General features: G+C 38.6%; 1 protein-coding gene across 13 annotated transcripts in view; it reads right to left on the minus strand.

The window, feature by feature from the left end:
• Positions 1-22,057, minus strand: part of SLC44A5 (solute carrier family 44 member 5) — a 521,887-nt gene that overhangs the window by 38,639 nt on the left and 461,191 nt on the right. For all 13 annotated transcript variants that reach the window (XM_047449166.1, XM_017000608.2, NM_001130058.2 and 10 more), the window contains 3 exons: positions 10,443-10,527; positions 2,119-2,244; positions 1,234-1,294 (listed from right to left, as the gene is read on the minus strand). In XM_047449166.1, coding sequence (XP_047305122.1) covers positions 1,234-1,294; positions 2,119-2,244; positions 10,443-10,527 — 272 coding nt within the window. The remainder of the gene's footprint in view (positions 1-1,233; positions 1,295-2,118; positions 2,245-10,442; positions 10,528-22,057) is intronic.

Genomic DNA, 22,057 nt, shown 5'->3' on the forward strand with positions numbered 1-22,057 from the left:
TTAAGAGAAATATATACATTGTAAGAAAGTGAATAAATAGAAAAAAGAAAGAAGAGTGAAATTTCCCACAGTTTTGCCACTCCCAAAATGACTACTTAATGTTTTGGTATATTTCGTTCCAATCTTTTTCTTTGAAGAGGTTTTCTTGTGGTTATTTATTTGTTTGTTTTAATTTATACATGTTTATCATTATAAGGATAGTAACAGTTTGAATTTTATTTAACATTATAACATATACATGCATGTTATTCTAATAGTTATATTTAATAATTCTAAAATATTTCATTTAGTGAATACATTATAATTTAAATATTCTCGGTCTTGGATAGTAGAGTATTTCTTTCTTTTTTCTTTTTGACACTTTAAATGTGATGGACATTTTAATGTAAAGCTTTTTTTTGTAATTAGGATTATATCCATAAGAAAGAAAACTCAGTGATTATTTCATTTTCTTCTTTTTCTTTTTATTTTTTTAGAGACAGTGTTTCACTCTGTTGCCAAGGTTGTGTACAGTGGTACAATCATAGCTAACTACAGGCTTCAACTCCTGGGCTCAAGTGATCCTCCCTTCTTGACCTCCCAAGTAGCTGGGATTACAAGTGCACATTGCCATGTCTCACTAATTTCTTTTTAAAATTTTTGTAGAGACAGGGTTTCACTATGTTGCTGAGGTTGGTCTCAAACTCAAGCAATCCTCCCACCTTGGCCTCCCAAAGTGCTGGGATTACAGGCATGAGCCCCTATGCCTGGCCTCATTTTGTCCACAGTATACAGTTCATAATTTTAAAGAAATAAAATATTGACTAATTCCAAATATATATAAATATTTCAAGTGATAAAGACAAGTATATGTCCTCCCCCTACTCCTCAGGCAATTTCTGAACAAACTTTTCAGCTAAAATCAGGAGTGGGTGTATATGAGCATATCTGTGTGTGTGTTTATGCGTGCTTCCAAAGCACCAAATGATCAATCTGACTGAGCTTTCAACATTCAATCTTTTTCTTGTATGTTTACAAAGGAAAATTCAAAAATTCAGAGTTCCAGTGAAAATGTACCTGGCTGGAGCCAAGAGATGAGCTCTACTTTTGACTTTCCTGCTAATCAACTCTGGGACTTTAGGCAGTCAGAGGACCATTCTTGGCCTCAGTCTCATCAATTGTGAAATACGGGAACTTAATTAAGTAGCATTTTGGTAGATCCTATGTTTCTAAGGTAAAATAGTTGCCACTTACAAGGTTTGCTGGGAAAAATCGCTGTTGGACAATCATCATCCAGTAAAAGCTGTGTGAGAGACTAAAATAGAAGGAAGAACGTTAACATTTCAAAGGCCATGTGATGATTACTTTATACTGAATCTAAATATGTCCTTTAAAAAATTTAACTCCATAATAATCTCCTTATTTCAAATTACTTCTACTAATAATATTAATTGTAAGATTATCACACACACAATCTTGCTTGACATTCTTAACTGTCCTAACTGTAATTCAATCGGACCAACAATAATAAAACCAGATCATCTGAAAACAAGGAACACCTTTGGAGGTGTGTGTCTTTGTCTTAGCCATATCCTGAGTCTCTGATTTTTTTGTGGGTTTTTTTTTCTAGAAAAACAACATCTTCTCTAATTTAGAAACCATTCATATTATTTAACATTGTGATGATTTAGAATTCTCTTACGTATCTCAAACCTAGGTAAGGGTTGGGGTTTTTTAAATGAGTTGTTATCAAACTGGGCTTGGAAATAAAATTCTACTTGTTACTAAGTTGCTATGGGGCTTCATCACCACATTAACGAAATGGTGATTGCAAATGACATTAACTCCTAGTTCTAGAGTAAAAGTCTATCCAAGTAGAGAATTTATTAGTGTCGGGGAATAGTAGAAGCTAATTAACCAGACATAACAGTCTTTCATGACACCCCAAATCTACAAAATGATGTGCTATAACTGGTGTGCATGCACACCCAGTACACATGCATTTCTGTTTCAATGAAATTGTATCTAATCATTTCCTAGAAGATTTGGGAGCTTGTTCAGTAACAAATTCTCACGTTACACTTGAGATTGAAAAAAAAAGTTAAATTGTTCTCTTGCTTTAAGCTTAAACACACATACCTTCACAGGCTTAGCAGTGGTCTTACAGAACTGACGGTAGTCTTCCCAGTAGCTTTTGTCTTTTGTGTACAAAAGTTGCATTTCCACATAGGTTAAAAATTTTTCTGGGCACTTGGAGACACAGATCTGTGAACGAACAAAGTGATGAGAACTGAACTGAGTTGAACAAACCCAGGAACTACCTATAAAGCTAGACTTCTAAATTATCCACCATAACAAAAAGCAATGCACTGTTTTCCATCTAAGAAACCTAAATCAATTTCCTTGCTCTCTCTCTTTTTCTTTCTTTTTTATTTTTTTAGAGACAGTGGCATGACCATGGCTCACTGCAGCCTCAACCTTTCTGGGCTCAAGTGTCCTCCCACTTCAGCCCTTTGAGTAGCTGAGACTACAGGCAAACACCACCATGCCCAGCTAATTTTTGTATTTTTTGCAGAGTCGGGGTTTTGCCATGTTTCCCAGGCTGGTCTCAAACTCCTGAGCTCAAGTGATCCACCCATCTCAGCCTCCCAAAGTGCTAGGATTACAGGTGTAAGCCACTGAACCTGGTCTAAATCAATTTTCTAGTCTTATTGTAAAAAATGAAATTTCATGTACTAGTTACCAATCTCTATTCTTTGCTCTTTGATATTGATGTTATGTTAAAACAAGATACCATACAGTGATAGACTTATTTTTAATTTTTGATTTTGAGATAATTGTAAATCAACATGTAGTTGTGAGGAATAATAGGGATTTCACATACCTTTCACTCTGTTTTCCTCAATGGTAAGAACTTTCATAACCATAACACAATATCATAAGCAGGAAATTAATATTGTTACTGGTATAGTTTGGTTATTTGTCCCCACATACCTCATGTTGAAATTTGATCCCCAGTGTTGGAGATGGGGCCTAATGGGAGGTGTTTGGGTTCATAGATGCAGCAGCACCCTGTTCTTATAGTTCAGGGAAGCATCTGTCCTGTTAATGGGGTGTTCATGAGGGCAGATCCTCCTTGTTCTTGTGATGATGAGTAGCTTCTTAATCTATTAATTCCCTCAAGAGTTGGTTGTTAGAAAGAGCCTGGCACCTCCCTCATCCTCTCTCTTGCTTCCTCACTAGCCATGTAATTTCTGCACATGCCAGCTCCTCTTTGCCTTCTGGTATGAGTGGAAAGCAGAAAGCTGAAGCCCTCAACAGAAGCAATGCTGGCTCCATGTTTCTTGTACAGCCTGCAGAACCATAAGCAAACAAACCTCTTTTCTTTATAAATTACCCAGCGTCAGGTATTCCTTTTGTAGCAACACTAAGCAGAGTAAGACAGTTAGAAGACACTAACCTTACTCAGAGCTCACCCGTTTTATATTCACTTGTTTCTGTGTGCCTGTGTATGTGCGTAGTTCTATGCCATTTTATCAGACATGTGGTTGTGTGATCACTACCACAGGACAGAGATGGACTTTTAATAAAACACTTTATGATTTTACAGTATAATTTAAGATTAATATTGCTTGTGTAGTCAATGCATATTCAGGGTTAAAATCTTCCTTCCTTTCCTAAATATGAATAAAATGATGATTTAAAATTCTCTGAATATTGAACACCTATGACACTAATAATTATTAGTGCCCGTGAATTCTCAAACACAATTCTCAAAATGTAACTGGGGTTTTATCACCATAAGAAACTAACAAATCAAGGCTATTTGGCACAATCAATCATCATTATGGTCTTTTACCAATACCATCTAAATGTGGACAGAGAGGTCATCTTTGCAATTATTTTACATTAATAAACTTTGGGGGCCTATCAGTGCCAAGCCAGATCACCATGCTACTTCACGAAGCCACCACAGAGTGACTGAAATCCAATTAGTAACTCCACAGAGGGAAGGCAGAATCAGAGGAGATACACTATTGGTTTTGCTTTTTTTTACAATAAAAAACAAAAGTCAGATGAAGCCATGTGAGCTGCAGCTAACCCTTTCAAGTCTCTCCATCACCTTTAGTTCCTTCTTCTGAAATCTTTCTCAGCCCTGACTTGCTCCATCTCCCTACTCTGGTAATTATTCTCATTGGCCAAATTGTAGCTCAACTCATTGGCAGTTAGGTAAAAACACTGCTGCTTAGCTGACATCTCCTTTCCATCTTTTGGGTTATGTACCTGCTGTACACAAAGGCATTTGGTGTGGACCCTACAGCTAAGTTAGCAGGAGAATAACAAAATGTATAGGCCTCTCTCACAGTTAATATTTTCTTGAAGCAATAGCAGTTCAATTCCCTCTAGAAATTTTGGCAGGGCAAACAACTCATCTCCACATCCACACCTCCACATGTATTTCCTCTTTCTTAGTCTCTCATCCACACGTGTGCATGCACACACACAATGACATTTGCATATTCATGTACCTTCAGAGAAAATATTAGTGGCTTCATAGGTATCTTTCTAAGAAAGCTGAAGAACAATTTAGGGACATTCACAGCATGCAACACACCCACATCTTTTAGAAGGTTAAGATGATTATCAATGCAAATGTCAAAAGTTCATTCTGATTGGAGCCAAGCTGAATAAACCATTAACATATTAGGAGATACTTGACAGACATTTAGACTTCAACAATTGACTCATGTAACTTTGAAAGACAACTGAACTACTTCTATTGAATACACTTAAATGGATTTATAAGTGAGTACTGAAAGAACTAATGCTTTCACAGGCTTTAAATGATGGTAGGTACTTCTGAATTGAGACCATGATGATTCTGTATTTATAAAGCACACACAAACAATGTATACTACACATAGAAAAGTGCTGTGTATGCAACACATAAAAGAAAGTAATTAAAATAGTAAAACGTAGTTTGTTAAGGAGAATCACATCAAATCTCATTCTAGACACAAATGAGCTGTTAAAAAACAATACAACTGCACTTTACTTTCTCCCTCTATCAGACCAATTTGTTCACTTCAAATAGGGTGCAGATTAGTAGTAATCAACATATAATTAGCCAAAATGAAGGTCACATTGAGATTGGATGTTCTAATTGATCACAGTCTGTCCTTTAAGTGCTTGTGACACATGTCTGGACCATGCCAGCAGTTAACAAAAACATCGTGCATAGAAATATGGCTCAGATCAGTAGATGCACCGTCTGGAAGACTAAATGCAAGTCTTCATTATTAGCAGTCAATAATGACTCAGCTAATAAGAGCTAATTCTGACTCAGTTCTGATTCTCTGTGCACCACAAAGGGCACTTTGCATAAAGCTCTGTATTACCATTTCTATCTTTAATTCAGATAGTCTTAACACTCAGTTACAAATTGGAATTTGGTGGCTGGGAGAGTGAATTACATTGAAGGTTAAAACACCACATTTGTTATGAAGAAAAGATGATCTAGTAACTCATTTATGAAACAAGAAAAAAGCATAATATGCAAGTATATTTTGTTTTATCATAGGAATGATAGATTTGTAGAGTACAGTGGAAAAATTCTTAACTAGAAGTAGGAAGATATTCATTCTCTCATTCATTCAGTCATTTGTTCATTCATTTAATAAATATTTACTGATCCCCTACTCTGAGCCTGTTCCAGGCACTGAGGACAGAAATAGTAGTGAACAACACATAAAAATCCTTGCCCTCAAGCAATTTGTCTTCCAGTAGTGGTAGTGGGAGACATATAAGAAATAATAAATAAGTAAAATGTTTGTCATAAGATGGTAATAAATAGTAGTAAATAAGATGGTATAAGATGATAAATAAATAAGGCTGGAAAGGAGGCTACAGAGAGAGAAAGGAGTGGCTGCGTGGGATTCTAATTTTGAAGAGGTAGTCAAAGAAGCCTCACTAAGAAGGTAACATTTGCAGAAATTCTTGGACAGGATGAGCAATCAAGACATACAGTCATCTGGAAAAATAATTCTCTAGGTAGGGAGAACAGCAAAGTCTAAGTCTCTAAGGCAGGAGAGTTCCTGGATCCTTTCAAGTATTAGTACAACAAATGGCCAGTGTGACCCAAGTGTAGTGAGAAAAGGGAGTAGAATAGGATATGTGGTCAGAGAGTGGGTCAGACAGTGAAGGATCTTACAGGTCATTGTTAGGACCTTGGCTTTTCATATAAGTAACTTGGGAAGCTATTGGGGCATTTAAGCAAAGAAGAGACATAATCAGACTTATATTTAACAGGACCACACTGGTTACTGGGTGGAAAAGAGACTGCAAAGGATAAGGGGGCAAGGACAGAAACAGAAAGACCAGTCAGGAGATCCTTGAACTAATCTAAAAAAGAGGTGATGGCTCCTTGAACTAGGGAAGAGGTGGTGAGAAATAGTTTGGCTCAGGGTACATTTTGGAGGGAGACCTAAGGAGAGCTCAAACATGGGTATGAGAGAGAGAGAAATCAAGGATAAGGTAGAAATCAAGGTATTTGGAGCTGGCATTAATTGAGACAGGGAATACATTGGGGTGGGGAACAATTTTAGGGATAAAGTCAGAGATTAGGAATTCAGTTGTGGACATGTTAAATTTGAGATGCCAACCAAATATTCATGTAGAAATATCACATGGGTGGTTGGATAGAAAGGTCTGGAACTCAAGGAGCAGATTTATTTGGAGATGTAAATTTGAGAAGTCAGCAAGTAGATGGTGTTAAACCCAATGGACTAGGTGAGATCATCAAAAAAGTAAATACAGACTTAGAAAAGGACCAAGCTTCTTGTGGGAGGGAAATGCAGTGTTTAAAAGATGTTAGAAAGATTAAGATAACTCATCAAAGGAGACTGATAGGGAGTAGACAGAGAGTTGGGAGGAAATATAGAAGAATGTTGTGCCCTGGAAGCCAGGTGAAAAAGGTATTTTAAGGAGGTGGGATTGATTAAATACTGTTGTTAGATCAAGTAAATGTGGATTTAATACTAACCATTAGCTTAATAATGTTGAGGTCGATGGTATTGTTTAGGGGAAATTGAAGTAGGGATAAAAGCTTGGATGAGAGTGAGAGGAAAGGATTTAGATAGATAAATGTGGACTATTCTTTTGAGGAGTTTTGAAAAAAAATAAAAGAGGCACAGAGATATGGACCAGTAGCTGGAGGGGGATGTGGGATCAAGGGAAAAATTTTTTAAGATTAAAGAAATAACAGTAGTGAACAAAACAGATAAAAATCCTTGTCCTTAAGCAATTTGTCTTCTAGTAGGGTGAGACAGGAACCAAATGACAGATAAGTAAAATGTTTGTTGTAAGATGGTAATAAGTGGTAATGAATAAGATGGTATAAGATGGTAAGTAAAAAAGGATAGAAAGGATACTAGAGACAGAGAGGAATGGCTGGGTGGAATTATAGTTTTGAATAAGTATTCAAGGAAGCCTCACTAAGAAGGTAACATTTGCAGAAATACTTGAAGAGGATGAATGATCAAGCCATAGCTTTGTATATTGATGGAGATAATTTAGTAGAGAAGGAAAAAATGATAATAAAAAAACATTTCAAAGTGATGTGCTTAATTATGCAAGAGGATGAGATTTAATACACAAATGGATGGGCTGGTCTTAGAAGCACAGGCAGTTCACCCATGGGGAATTAGAGGGAAGGCAGAATGAGTATATGACATAGACGAAGATAGGCAGGCAAACGGATGTCAGAGAGGGAGATTTTAACAGTTGTCTTCTGAATGCTTGTACTTGCTCAGTGAGACAGGAAGCAAAGTTAGAAGCTGGCATGGAGATTGGGAAAGAGATCTTGGAAGTTCCAGGTGAGAAGAAAAGGTGTGAAATTCTATAGCAGTAGGCTATAGAATGGACAACGGTCTGTAGTATGGTTGAGAGACAGCATTAACGGCCCACTTGAAGTTAGGTCCTGAATTTAAATGGTTGTTGTATGTTTTTCTCCAAGAACACACAGCTGCCTGGATTCAGGCATGGAGTAGGCTGAAAGCTACCTTTATAGTCAGGTTTTGCCAGGGACTTACAACTAAGTGAAAGGGGACAATGGAATTGAGAATGTTTATACAGGAGTGATTTCACTGAGAGACTGTGGAATCTAAGTCAGGTAAGGAGAGAGATGCAAACCTGAGGGAGCTGAGCAATACTTTGGATGGGTTAGGATCAGTGGTTTGCAGGTCCCAGTAAGGTAAAAGAATTATTGGAGTTGCAATGTCAGAGGAATCAAGATGATCAGAGAAATTGAGATTACAAAGGGTAGCAATTATTAATACTGGAAAGGTCAAGGGTTTGCCCTTGGGGACGTGGGTAGAAGTGGTCACAGAACTAAGATACCAACATCCCAAGTGGGCTTTAGTCTCAGCAGAAGTAAGATTTCAAAAGTCTTTGAGGGAGATGAGGAAGCAAAAAAATAAAGCAGATTTACAAACTAATCCTAGGGACTAGCTTTGGGTATAGTTACCGGCACATGGAACCAAGAAGAAGCAAAAAAGTCAGAAGTCTATTAAGTTTCTGAGGTAATTGTAATGCTAGAAAAAATCATGAGGTAGCCTTAAAAAGCCTTTCACTGTTAAAATAATATTTGTGATATGAAACTTGCACAACTGGAAGTGAGCTTCAAAGCAATATGGGCCTCAAGACAGCACACTTTCCAGTGCTCAGCAATGGTGTGGCCTGGAGGTTAAAGGACAGAAAATCACCTCCCAGGTGGCCAAGCAAACGGCTATAGGAAGCAATGGACAGGGAAATCTTCTCAGAGAACGCAATCCAGGTGAAATAAAAGACTGTTCTCCATTGCCACAATCCAGAAACTGCTGTGTATTTATCACTCCTTTTCTAAATGAGAGTTTGTAATTCTAATTTTTCTGTCCATGTTACCATTGTACATGTAGTGTCAAGACTTGATAAAGAGAACTATACATCATCTATAGATTCTGGACTTTGAGTTAAAAACAGTACTACATGGGATTCTGGGTTCTCCTTTGGGAAGAAGAAGTGTGTTCTGGAGGCCAGAGAGGTAGACTATAGAAGACACACTTAACTATTCATTGAGGTTTGTGTCTCTTGTTCCATTTGTTCCATGGTATAGAAAAGGCAGCTCAGCTCATAGCTACATTGCTCAATTCCTTTCTCCTTGAATCTGGGTGTGACCTATCTTTTTTGTGGGATTAGAAACATATAAATTTCTTTTTTAAAAACTTTTATTTTAAGTTCAGAGGTACATGTGCAGGTTTGTTACATAGGTAAACTTGTGTCATGGAGTTTTGTTGAACAGATTATTTCATTACCCAGGTATTAAGCTTAGTATCCATTCGTTGTTTTCCCTGATCTTCTTTCTCCTCCCACCCTTCACCTTCTGATAGGCCCCCATGCCTGTTGTTCCCCTCTTTGTGTCCATATGTTCTCATCATTTAGCTGTCACTTATAAGTGAGAACACGTGGCATTTGGTTTTCTGTTCCTGTTTTAGTTTTCTAAAGATAATGACCACCAGCTCCATCCATGTCTCTGCGAGGGACGTGACCTTGTTCTTTTTTATGGCTGCATAGTATTCCATGGTGTATATGTACCACATTTTCTTTATCCAATCTATCATTGATGGGCATTTAGATTGATTCCATATCTTTGCTATTGTGAATAGTGCTGCAGTGAACATACATGTGCATGCATCATTTTAGTAGAATGATTTATATTCCCTTGGGTATATACCCAATAATGGGATTGCTGGGTCAAATGGTATTTCTGTCTTTAGGTCTTTGAGGGATGCGACCACTTATAACCAGTTTGTGTCTGTGGCATATGAGTGGAAATGCAATGTGTGAAACTTCTTATCCAAGGCTTTTAAGAGCAGGATGTTTTATTCATCCTCACTGTGTCCTTTTCATTGCTGGATGCATATGATGGGGAGGATTTAAGGAACAGCAGAGCCACCCTTAAGTGCTTAAGCCACCCTTAAGATGGAAGGAGCCTAGAGGAGAGTACCTACTGACCACAGACACCTGCCTTTTACTGTTATATGGTCAAAAAATAAATGTTATTGTGTGAAGTCACTGAAAAACGTGGTTTGTTAGTTATAGTAGCTAGCTTTACTTTTCCTAATACAATGTTGATCTTGATAAAAACTCCATTTCTCTGGGCTGCACATATTTATTTATAAAAGTAAGTGGTTGGACAAGACAATCATCGAGCTTCCTAAGTGATTCTAAAATGATTAATTTCTGCTTAGTTTTGATTGTATATAAACAAATATAAGCTCATACTTATATCTTCCCATCGTCTAGAAATTCATAATGAACCCCCTGCCCACGCACACACACAGAGAACTCAAATGGAATTTCTCAATTCTTTTATCCAAGAATGTTCAGAACGGCTGACACTACCAGTGAGGCACCTTTTGCCTTACCTGTGTGGTAGGGCACTGTAGGTTTAGCAACACGGAGGGACTGGTACAGCGTAACAGGTTAAAGTAAAACAAAATGGTCTTGTTCCTGTTAAGAAAGAAAACATAATCTTTTTAGTGACCATGGAAATGTTCCATATCATTTCAGACCCTGAACACTTTTTATAAATAACCTTTAAAAATTGGTTTCATTATCTACAGAGGCTGAAATATATTCTCCCTCTCCCTTAGGTACCTAACCTTTAAAGTATCTTTTTTTTTAATAGTAAAATGTTGAAACAATCAAACTATCCATCAACAGGAGATTGCTTAAATAGATTTGTATACCCATAAGGTAGAACATTACATTGCCATTGAAAATAATGCTAAAGAACTAATTTAATGGATGGTGAAATTTACAATATGTCAATTTTAGGAAGCAGGTTACTAAAGAGTATTAACATATGGTTTGATTTTAATTTTATTAAAAACAAATATAACATGAAGAAACATTATTACATCTGAATGTTGGGATTATATTGCTTAGTTTATTTTTTGTGCTTTTATGGATTTCATAAAATAAATATACATTACTTTGGTAATCTGAAAAAACATAAATGAATTAAGTGATACTTTCTCTCTGCTGAAAATTATAGCCAGTGGCAGAGTAACGAAGCAGGTTGATATTCATTATCATTAGCTTTGAGTGGTATATTACTCTGCCATTTAGCAAGCCACAGTTCTCTTTTGAATCTCAATTTTCTCATCAGTAAAATGAAGATAATACTATTCCTACCTACTTCACAGAGTGTTGGGAGGGCCTAAGATAATGCGTAGTGGACTTAAGACAAGTGGTTGCCCAACTTCAGCATGCACAAGGAAAACCCGAAGTGTTTGTTCAACATTTTGATTCCCAACTCTTTCCCAACCCTTGAGAGTCCAAATGTCTAGATATTGGGCCCAGGAATTAGTATGTTTTCCCCTAAGCTCCCCAGTGGATTCAGAGAGAGTGTTCTGTAAACCATATCTTAAGAAACACAGCTCTAAATATTCAGGAAGAATGTTTCTTAACTCTTTGTCAACTCCCCAGTAAATTAATGTGACTACATGCATAGCACAAAATGTAATGGGCTATTGAGCAATATTTTTCCTACCACTCAAAATCAGTAAGTAGGATCCAAATCTAAGGATAAAGAAAGTCTTCCACAAGAAATTGGGGATAGATCCTTTAATCACTTCTACCTGCTTCCTACACCTGTCTACATAAGCCAATATTGTGGGGAGGGAGGTGGATCAGAGACAGTGGAGTCGGCAGGATACAACCAATGATTGCAGTTAATAGAACTCTCCCTACAATCCTCACTGAGGAGAGGACTAGTTGTTTCTTCCAAATTCCAAGTTATAGAGGGTTCTAAGAGAATCTCTCATAGAGACTGAAGATGCAGTAAGAGGGGTAGACCAACATCTCATTTTTCAATTGAATGTCTCTTATGTGGCAGACCTGCTAGTCAGCCTTCCATGCCCATTTGAGCAGGGAGAAATGAGACCCAAAGAGACCACAAGAGAATTGAAAAAAAGTCAATGAGGCAGAAAGAGGGCAGCAGTAAAACAGCCCATCATAATAGGATATGGAGTCAATAAACGGACTTGAGCCTCCCTGGTGGTACCTCACCTGACATTAAGAGACTGTGGAGGTGAATCACCAGGGATGGAGCTGAAAGGGTTTGGAGGAGGGCAAACCAAAGCTGATGACTTACATGAAAGAACTATTCAGTGAGGACTCCCCCAGAAAATGTCCACCTGCACCCCATGAGAGAGCCAGCCCTTGGATGCCTGCCCCAGTGAGTGTTGATGGCTGGTCAGTTATGTCCGAGCCACAGTGACAACAACAACAGCAAAGTAAGTGCACAGAAATATTCCAGTTGCTTTTTCTTTAGTAAGAAGGGGCAGTAGCTAGGAAAGTAACACATCATCCCTTTTCTTCTCTTTCCATCCCTCACAGCATAATGAATAAGCTAGAACCAGAAAGGAAGAGAGGAGACAAGTAATAGCAGGCCAGGCCCTCTCTCTCACTCCAAGTTCTTTGGCAGAGTCAAACCTGAGCTTGGGGATTGGAAGAAATGAAACTGAAATCTTAAATTGGACTACATTGAACTTTTAACAACAGAAAGTGTCTGAAAACTATGTAATCTGCCTGAAATATCAAAGTGAGAAGGGAAATCTGAAAAAGCATTTTTAAAGGCAATGATATGAGAAAAATAAACCCATTCTATGTTTGTATTCCACTAAATTCAAATGGCTGAAGAAGCTGTTTATAAATTAATACACAATATGTACAAGGCTACTACTTTGAGATCTACAAGTGCTAACTTGGCTATTTCACCACCCAGTCAACTACATCATCCACACAGTCTCACAGTGCATGTGATTCAAATTTGTACTTGAGCAAATGAATAAATTATACATATCTTGGATCACTGGGGTCCCTTGGGAGTATTTAAAACTGTGAATGGTAAATCAGTAAGTGCCAAGAGTTTGCCATAGGTAAAATTGATTTATAAACTGCAAACTGCTATGTAAACTCAAGTTATTCACCAGATTATATTATCCTCAAGGGTAAGGTTTATACCTTATTCATCTTTACATCCTACCTTGCCAGAACTTAACCTCATACTTGGCCCACTCTAGACACTTATCAGATGTTTTGGAATGAATGAGACCAATTCCATAATGTTTTTGAAAATATTTATCTCAAAGTTTTTTCAAGTAAGTCTTAGAATCATCATTAGTATTTCAGCACAAATCTATAGTCATTCTATCACAGTCACTGATATTCTCAAATTTCAGGGGACCACAACTTTTTTTTTTTTTAGACGGTTTCTCACTCTTGTCGCCCAGGCTGGAGTGCAGTGGCGCAATCTCTGCTCACTGCGACCTCTGCCTCCAGGGTTCAAGCAATTCTCCTGCCTCGGCCTTCTGAGTAGATGGGATTACAGGCACCTACCACCATGCCCAGCTAATTTTTGTCCTTTTAGTGGAGACGTGGTTTCGGCATGTTGGCCAGGCTGGTCTCAAACTCCTGACCTCAGGTGATCTGCCTGCATCGGCCTCCCAAAGTGCTGGGATTACAGGCATGTGCCAGCGCACCCGGCCAGACCTCAGATTTTTTAGGTGCAAAGTAGATGGTGGTGGTTGCAGCTGAGCAATTCTGTAGAAGTAATTGAGGAAGTAACTCATAATTTAACTTAAATTATATTTCCATCAAGAAACAAAATAGAAACAATAGCAAACTACTAGTTCCAGGTGATGTATCAGGCACTTAAGCCTATCTCTCTTCTTTCCTGAGACTCATCGGAATAAAATAATAAAAGTACCAATAAATGAATAAACCTCGCCACACAAGCTAAGAATGTGGAGGATGTGATTTGATCACAATTTTACAGGAGAGTTCAGCAATATTTGGAATACGGGATGCATATTGAAGTGTGCTGAACAATGAATGCACATACAGGGGTACAGGGAGGGTGGGACAGAATTTGCCTGTTAGAAATCATGAAACATGCTAGACTGAGTTGAGAGTGAGAAATGTAGCCAAAGCAGAGAGATTAATCGAAAGTTTCTTTACAGATTTTCAGTGCAAATCAGAACCGCTGTGTTTCTCCCAGACCTCTATGCTTAGAATACCAGCATCCAGAAAATAGCTGATGAGCTAAAACTAAAATTGCAAAAAAAAATCTCATAATGTTTTAAGAAAGTTTATGATTTTGTGTTGGGCTGCACTGAATGCCATGCTGGGCCACGTGGAGCCCATGACCTGTGGGTTGCACAAGCTTGTTCTATGGCGTTTTGAAAGCCAGTGCCTGACATCCAGCTTTCCACCAATTCATGCTGTAATGGAATATGACAGTCAACACAGCCCTGTCACCCCACATGGTGCAGAGGCCTCCTTGGTAAGATGACTGACTAACACAGCAGCAAAGCAAATCCACCCAAACCACCCAGTCCTTTTTTCTTTAGTAATAGATAATTATGTAGCATCAGGCATATATGAGGAATCAAAACATAAAAGAGAAAAACTAAACAAACAAACAAAAATTAAATTATTAAAATAATTAAGGGCATAGGAGGGAACTTTAAAACCTCTAATATATTCAGAGAAATTTAAGCAGATTATTCACAAAATAAAAATGTGATGTTATTGTAAAAGAATAATTGGAGAACAAGAAAGGCTTATAAAGATTAAAATATAATTGCCAAAACAAAAAAAAATCAAAAGAAGAGATGGAAAAAATTAAGAAATTCTAAAATACAGAACAAAAAGTCAGAGATGAAAAATAGAAGGAAAAAAAGGAGAGGCACTGAGACGAATCCAGGTATGACCAATAGTTCCAGAAAGACAACTGAAAAAATGGAAGGGATAAAAATCGCAAAGAAATAACAGAAGAAAATTGTCCAGAGCTGATGAGAGTCATAGTTCTTCAGGATTAAAGGACTTACTAAGGACTCAAAGAAAGAATTAAACAGGCCTCTATCAAATTGTGAGATTTCAGAACACTAAGAATAAAGAAATGATTTTAAGTACTTTCTAAAAGGAAAATACTTATCATGATGTATGTGAATTCTACTGGCATTAGACATTCTGGATAACAAAAATGATGGAGCAATGTCTTCACATTTCTGAAAAGAATTGTTTTTCAATCTACACTTCTATAGCTATACCATCAATCAAATATAAAAAGAGAAAAGAAAAGATGAAGAGACAAAGAAGACATTTATAGGAACTCAGCAAGTTTACTTCTTATGCTTTCTTTTTTTAGGAAGGTAATTGAGAATATTCTCCATGAAAACAGGTGGGTCAACAGAAAGAGAGGCAGCCTTGGGATATAGGAAACAATAAATTCACATACTTACGCTAAAAATTATTATTTATATGAAATTAAAAAGTTAACTGGGCATTCTGTGCTTTTGTTTCATAAATCTGTTAACTCTAGAAAAAGACAATTTAACAAGGTAGAGAAGCCCCAGAATTAAAGCTATGCAATAGGCCTACAATTTACCAGGTCCTGAGTAAAGCAAAAGGACAGCAGCTCTGCAAGGTAGACCTTCAGGGAAAAGGGGCCCCTGAAAAATAGTATGATTGAGATGGCAGAAAAGCACATTGTTCTGATGAAGGCTATCCAAGAAAAACCTTGTGGGTAAACAAAACATTATGTTAGAAAGTCACTATGTTGAAGCAAACTAAAATGTGAGATGATCCTATGCTGCTAATGAAGTGTGAGATTTGGCTTTGATATCAAGGACATGGTACAAATAAGAAAGTAATGGCCTGACAGTGAATACAGTTTGTAGAGTTATGACAAAGCAGAAGTTTTTAAAATCATTTTCAAATTCTGGAACCAACCTACCAATACATCATGCAAGATTCTGTTGAAGTTCCAGAACTGAACATAAATGGTGACAAATCTGATCATGTAAAATGGTATTTATAGAAAGTATTTCCAGAAAGTAAAAGGTGAAAGGGAACGAAAAGATGGACAGAAGGGTAGGGGTGATAATATCCTCTTACATAAAGATGAGCTGAGACACTGACAAAAGTTAGCAGAACAAGAAGTAGAGGTATTGCATACTATTTAAAGTCATAAAAGTAACCACAAGGCAATCCAAAAGTAGTAATTTAACTACCAAACATGGGTGAAGGGGATCAGTAAGATAATGTATATGAGTTAGAAATATTCATTTCCCATAGCAGACTGTCAGTGGATATTATCTAAACTTAATAAGCACAAAATAAAATAAGCTTATTATTTAAAGTTCTGTAAAAACCAACTGCCAGAAGAACTAAAACCAGAGAGAGAAGAGATTGTCCCAGTGAAAGGAAAGTGTGGGTGAAAAGTCCTAGAATGAGAGACCATTGCTTTTATTATAAACTCTTCATTACTATTTTGTTTGTTTTCACATGCATATATTATTTTGATTCAAATTTTAAACATTAAACAAATTGTGTGTGGATACTGGTAGTAAGTTCAATCAAAGAGATTTGTGAGATATTTTTGCCATTTTGTCAGAGGTCAGTGAATTGAAAACTAAGTTGCTATTGCTTCACATAGATGCTGAATTGGATGCAAGGCTTAAAAGGGAGGGACTTCAAAATGGCTGATGAGAAGCATATAGTACCCACTTGCACTACAAAGAAGAACCAAAATAACAAGTAGATAATCACACTTTGAATAGATCACCTAAGCAAGAATGCCAGAATTCAACAGCCAAAGTGAACAGGAAACAGCTAAGGCATGGAAAAAGAGTGAAGAGAGGCAGCATGCTCAGCCAGGATCAGCTGGGAACCTAGAGAGGCTTTCCGATGCAGGAAAAGGGTGAGAGACCCCTAGTGGTCCACATTCCCAACACAAACTCCTGCAATTCTAGCCATGGGTGAGCCCCTTGACCCACTCAGGCACTGAGACTAACATAGGAAATTGCCTGGAGACTGCATAACAGCATTGCTCCAAAGAGAAAGCTTCTACTGGGTCTCACACCCCTCCCTGAGGTCTAAGAAGAAACAGCAAGGTGGCTGGCAAGATGGCTAAATAGGAACAGCTCTGGTCTGCAGCTCCCAGCGAGAACTACTCAGAAAAAGGGTGATTTCTGCATTTCCAACTGAGGTAACCAGTACATCTCAGTGGGACTAGTTGGACAGTGGGTGTAGCCCAGGGAGGGCGAGCCAAAGCAGGGTGGGTTGTCACCTCACCCAGGAAGCATAAGGGGTCAGGGAACTCCCTCTCCTAGCCTAAGGAAATAGCCATTAGGGACTGTATCATGCACTCTGGCCCAGATTTTGAGCTTTTCCCACGGTCTTCGCAACCCGCAGACCAGAAGATTCACTCCAGGGCCCACTCCACCAGGGCCCTGGGTTTCCAGCACAAAACTGGGTGGCCATTTGGGCAGACACCAAGCTAGTCACAGTTTTTTTTCATACCCCAGTGGCGCCTGGAATGCCAGTGAGACAGAACTGTTCACTCCCCTAGAAAGGGGGCTGAAGCCAGGGAACCAAGTGGTCTGGCTTGGCAGTTCCCACAACCACGGAGACCAGAAAGCTAAGATCCACTGGCTTGAAACTCTCACTTTGAGCACAGCAGTCTGAGCTCGACCTGGGATGCTTGAGCTTCGTCAGGGAAGGGGTGTCTGCCATTGCTGTGGCTTGAGTAGGTGGTTTTACAAAGTCGTTGGGAAGTTGGAACTGGGTGGAGCTCACCACAGCTCAGCAAGGCCACTGCTGCCAGACTGCCTCTCCAGATTTCCTCCTCTCTGGGCAGGGCATCTCTGAAAAAAAGGCAGCAGCCCCAGTCAGGGACTTACAGATAAAACCCCCAACTCCCTGGGACAGAGCACCTGGAGGAAGGGGCGGTCGGGGGTCCAGCTTCAGCAGACTTAAAAGTCCCTGCTGGCAGCTCTGAAGAGAGCAGCAGATCTCCCAGCACAGCGTTTGAGCTCCAATAAGGGACAGACTGCCTTCTCAAGTGGGTCCCTGACCCCTGGGTATCTTGACTGGGAGACACCTCCCAGTAGGCGCCAATAGACACCTCATACAGGAGAGCTCTGGCTGGCATCTGGCAGGTGCCCCTCTGGGACGAAGCTTCCAGAGGAAGGAACAGGCAGCAATCTTGGCCATTCTGCGATTCTGCCAGTGACACCCAGGCAAACAGGGTCTGGAGTGGACCTCCAGTAAACTCCAGCAGACCTGCAGCAGAGGGGCCTTACTGTTAGAAGGAAAGCTAACAAACAGAAAAGAACAGTATCAACAGCAACAAAAAGGACATCTACTCAGAGACCCCAGCCAAAGGTCACTGACTTTAAAGACCAAAGGTAGATAAATCCATGAAGATGGGGGGAAATCAGCACAAAAAGGCTGAAAATTCCAAAAACCAGAATGCATCTTCTCCTGCAAAGGATCACAACTCCTCGCCAGCAAGGCAACAAAACTGGACAGAGAATGAGTTTGACAAATTGACAGAATTAGGCTTCAGAAGATGGGTAATGACAAACTCCTCTGAGCTAAAGGAGCATGTTCTAACCCAATGCAAGGAAGCTAAGAACCTTGAGAAAAGGTTAGATGAATTGCTAACTTTAATAACCAGTATAGAGAAGAACATAAATGACCTGATGGAGCTGAAAAACACAGCACAAGAATTTCGCAAAGCATACACAAGTATCAATAGCAGAATCGATCAAGTGGAAGAAAGAATGTCAGAGATTGAAGATCAACTCAATGAAATAAAGTGAGAAGACAAGATTAGAGAAAAAAGAGTGAAGAGAAATGAACAAAGCCTCCAAGAAATATGGGACTATGTGAAAAGACCAAATATATGTTTGATTGGTGTACCTGAAAGTGACAGGGAGAATGGAACCAAGTTGGAAAACACTCTTTGGGATATTAGCCAGGAGAACTTCCCCAGTCTAGCAAGGCAGGCCAATATTCAAATTCAGGAAATACAGAAAACACCACAAAGATATTCCTTGAGAAGAGCAACCACAAGACACACAATCATCAGATTCACCAAGGTTGAAATAAAGGAAAAAATATTAAGGGCAGCCAGAGAGAAAGGTCAGGTTACCCACAACGGGAAGCCCATCAGACAAACAGCAGATCTCTTAGCAGAAACCCTAGAGGCCAGAAGAGAATGGGGGCCAATATTCAACATTCTTAAAGAAAAGAATTTTCAACCCAGAATTTCATATCCAGCCAAACTAAGCTTCATAAGTGAAGGAGAAATAAAATCTTTACAATAAGCAAATGCTGAGAGATTTTGTCACCACCAGGCCTGCCCTAAAAGAGCTCCTGAAGGAAGCGCTAAACATGGAAAGGAACAACCAGTACCAGCCACTGCAAAAACAGGCCAAATTGTAAAGACCATCGATGCTAGGAAGAAACTGCATCAACTAACGAGCAAAATAACCAGCTGGCATCATAATGGCAGGATCAAATTCACATATAACAATATTAACCTTAAATGTAAATGGGCTAACTGCCCCAATTAAAAGACAGACTGGCAAATTGGATAAAAAGTCAACACCCATTGGTGTGCTATATTCAGGAGACCCATTTCACATGCAAAGACACACATAGGCTCAAAATAAAGGGATGGAGGAATATTTACTAAGCAAATGGAAAGCAAAAAAGCAGGGGTTGCAATCCTAGTCTCTGATAAAACAGACTTTAAACGAACAAAGATCAAAAGAGACAAAGAAGGGCATTACATACTGGTAAAGGGGTCAATGCAACAAGAAGCAGTAACCATCCTAAATATATATGCACCCAATACAGGAACACCCAGATTATAAAACAAGTTATTAGAGACCTACAAAGAGGCTTAGACTCCCACACAATAATAGTGGGAGACTTTAACACCCCACTGTCAATAGTAAACAGATCAATGAGACAGAATGTTAACAAGGATATCCGGGACCTGAACTCAGCTCTGCAACAAGCAGACCTAATAGACATCTACAAAACTCTCCACTCCATATCAGCAGAATATACATTCTTCTCAGCACCACATTACACTTATTCTAAAATTGACCACATAACTGGAAGTAAAACACTCCTCAGCAAATGCAAAAGAACAGAAATCATAACAAACAGTCTCTCAGACCACAGTGCAATCAAATTAGAACTCAGGACTAAGAAACTCACTCAAAACTGCAGAAGTACATGGAAAGTAGACAACATGCTCCTGAATGACTACTGGGTAAATATTGAAATGAAGGCAGAAATATAGATGTTCTTTGAAACCAATGAGAACAAAGACACACCATACCAGAATCTCTGGGACACATTTAAAGCAGTCTGTAGAGGGACATTTATAGCACCAAATGCCCACAAGATAAAGCAGGAAAGATCTAAAATCGACACTAACATCACATTTAAAAGAACTAGAGAAGCAAGAGCAAACAAATTCAAAAGCTAGCAGAAAGCAAGAAATTACTAAGATCAGAGCAGAACGGAAGGGCACAGAGACACAAAAAACTCTTCAAAAAATCAATGAATCCAGGATCTGGTTTTTTGAAATGATGAACAAAATAGTCAGCTAGCGAGAGTAATAAAGAAGAAAAGAGAGAAGAATCAAATAGACCCAATAAAAAATGATAAAGGGGATATCACCACCGATCCCACAGAAATACAAACTACCACCAGAGAATACTGTAAACACCTCTACTCAAAGAAACTAGAAAATCTAGAAGAAATGGATAACTTCCTGGACACATACACCCTCCCAAGACTAAACCAGGGAGAAGTTGAATCCTGGAATAGACCAGTAACAAGTTCTGAAATTGAGGCAGCAATTAATAGCCTACCAACTAAGAAAAGTCCAGGACCAGATGGATTCACAGCCAAATTCCACCAGAGGTACAAAGAAGAACTGGTACCACTCCTTCTGAAACTATTTCAAACAATAGAAAAAGAGGGAATCCTCCCTAAATCATTTTATGAAGCCAGCATCATCCTAATGCCAAAACCTGGCAGAGACACAACAACAGAAATTTCAGGCCAATATCCCTGATGAACATGGATGCGAAAATCCTCAATAAAATACTGGCAAACTGAGTCCTGCAGCACATCAAAAAGCTTATCCACCACGAGCAAGTCAGCTTCATCCCAGGGATGCAAAACAATAAATGTAATCCATCGCATAACAACCAATGACCAAAAACCACATGATTATCTCAATAGATGAAGAAAAGGCCTTCGACAAAATTCAACAGCCCTTCATGCTAAAAATTCTCTTTAAACTAGGTATTGATGGAACGTATCTCAAAATAAGAGCTATTCATGACAAACCCACAGCCAGTATCATACTGAAAGGGCAAAAACTGGAAACAATCCCTTTGAAAACCGGCACAACACAAGGATGCCCTCTCTCACCACTCCTTCACAGTATTAGAAGTTCTGGCCAGGGCAATCAAGAAAGAGAAATAAACAATGGGTATTCAAGTATGAAAAGAGGAAGTCAAATTGTCTCTGTTTGCAGATGACATGATTGTATATTTAGAAAACCCCATCATCTCAGCCCCAAATCTTCTTAAGCTGATAAACAACTTCAGCAAAGTCTCAGGATACAAAATCAATGTGCAAAAAGCACAAGCATTCCTATACACCAAGAACAAATAGAGAGCAAAACTATCAGTGAACTCCCATTCACAATTGCTACAAAGAGAATAAAATACCTAGGAATCCAACTTACAAGGGATGTGAAGCATCTCTTCGAGGAGAACTACAAACCACTGTTCAAGGAAGTAAGAGAGGACATAAACAAATGGAAAAATATTTCATGCTTATGGATAGGAAGAAACAATATTGTGAAAATGCCATATTTCCCAAAGTAATTTATAGATTCAATGCTATCCCCATCAAGCTACCACTGACTTTCTTCATAGAATTGGAAAAAACTACTTAAAAGTTCATATGGAACCAAAAAAGAGCCCGCATTGCCAAGACAATCCTAAGCCAAAAGAACAAAGCTGGAGGCATCACACTACCTGACTTCAAACTATACTACAAGGCTACAGTAATAAAAACAGCATGGTACTAGTACCAAAACAGATATATAGACCAATGGAACAGAACAAAGGCCTCAGAAATAACG

The sequence above is a fragment of the Homo sapiens genome, chromosome 1, assembly GCF_000001405.40.
Source record: "Homo sapiens chromosome 1, GRCh38.p14 Primary Assembly".
Classification (NCBI taxonomy): Eukaryota; Metazoa; Chordata; class Mammalia; order Primates; family Hominidae; genus Homo; species Homo sapiens.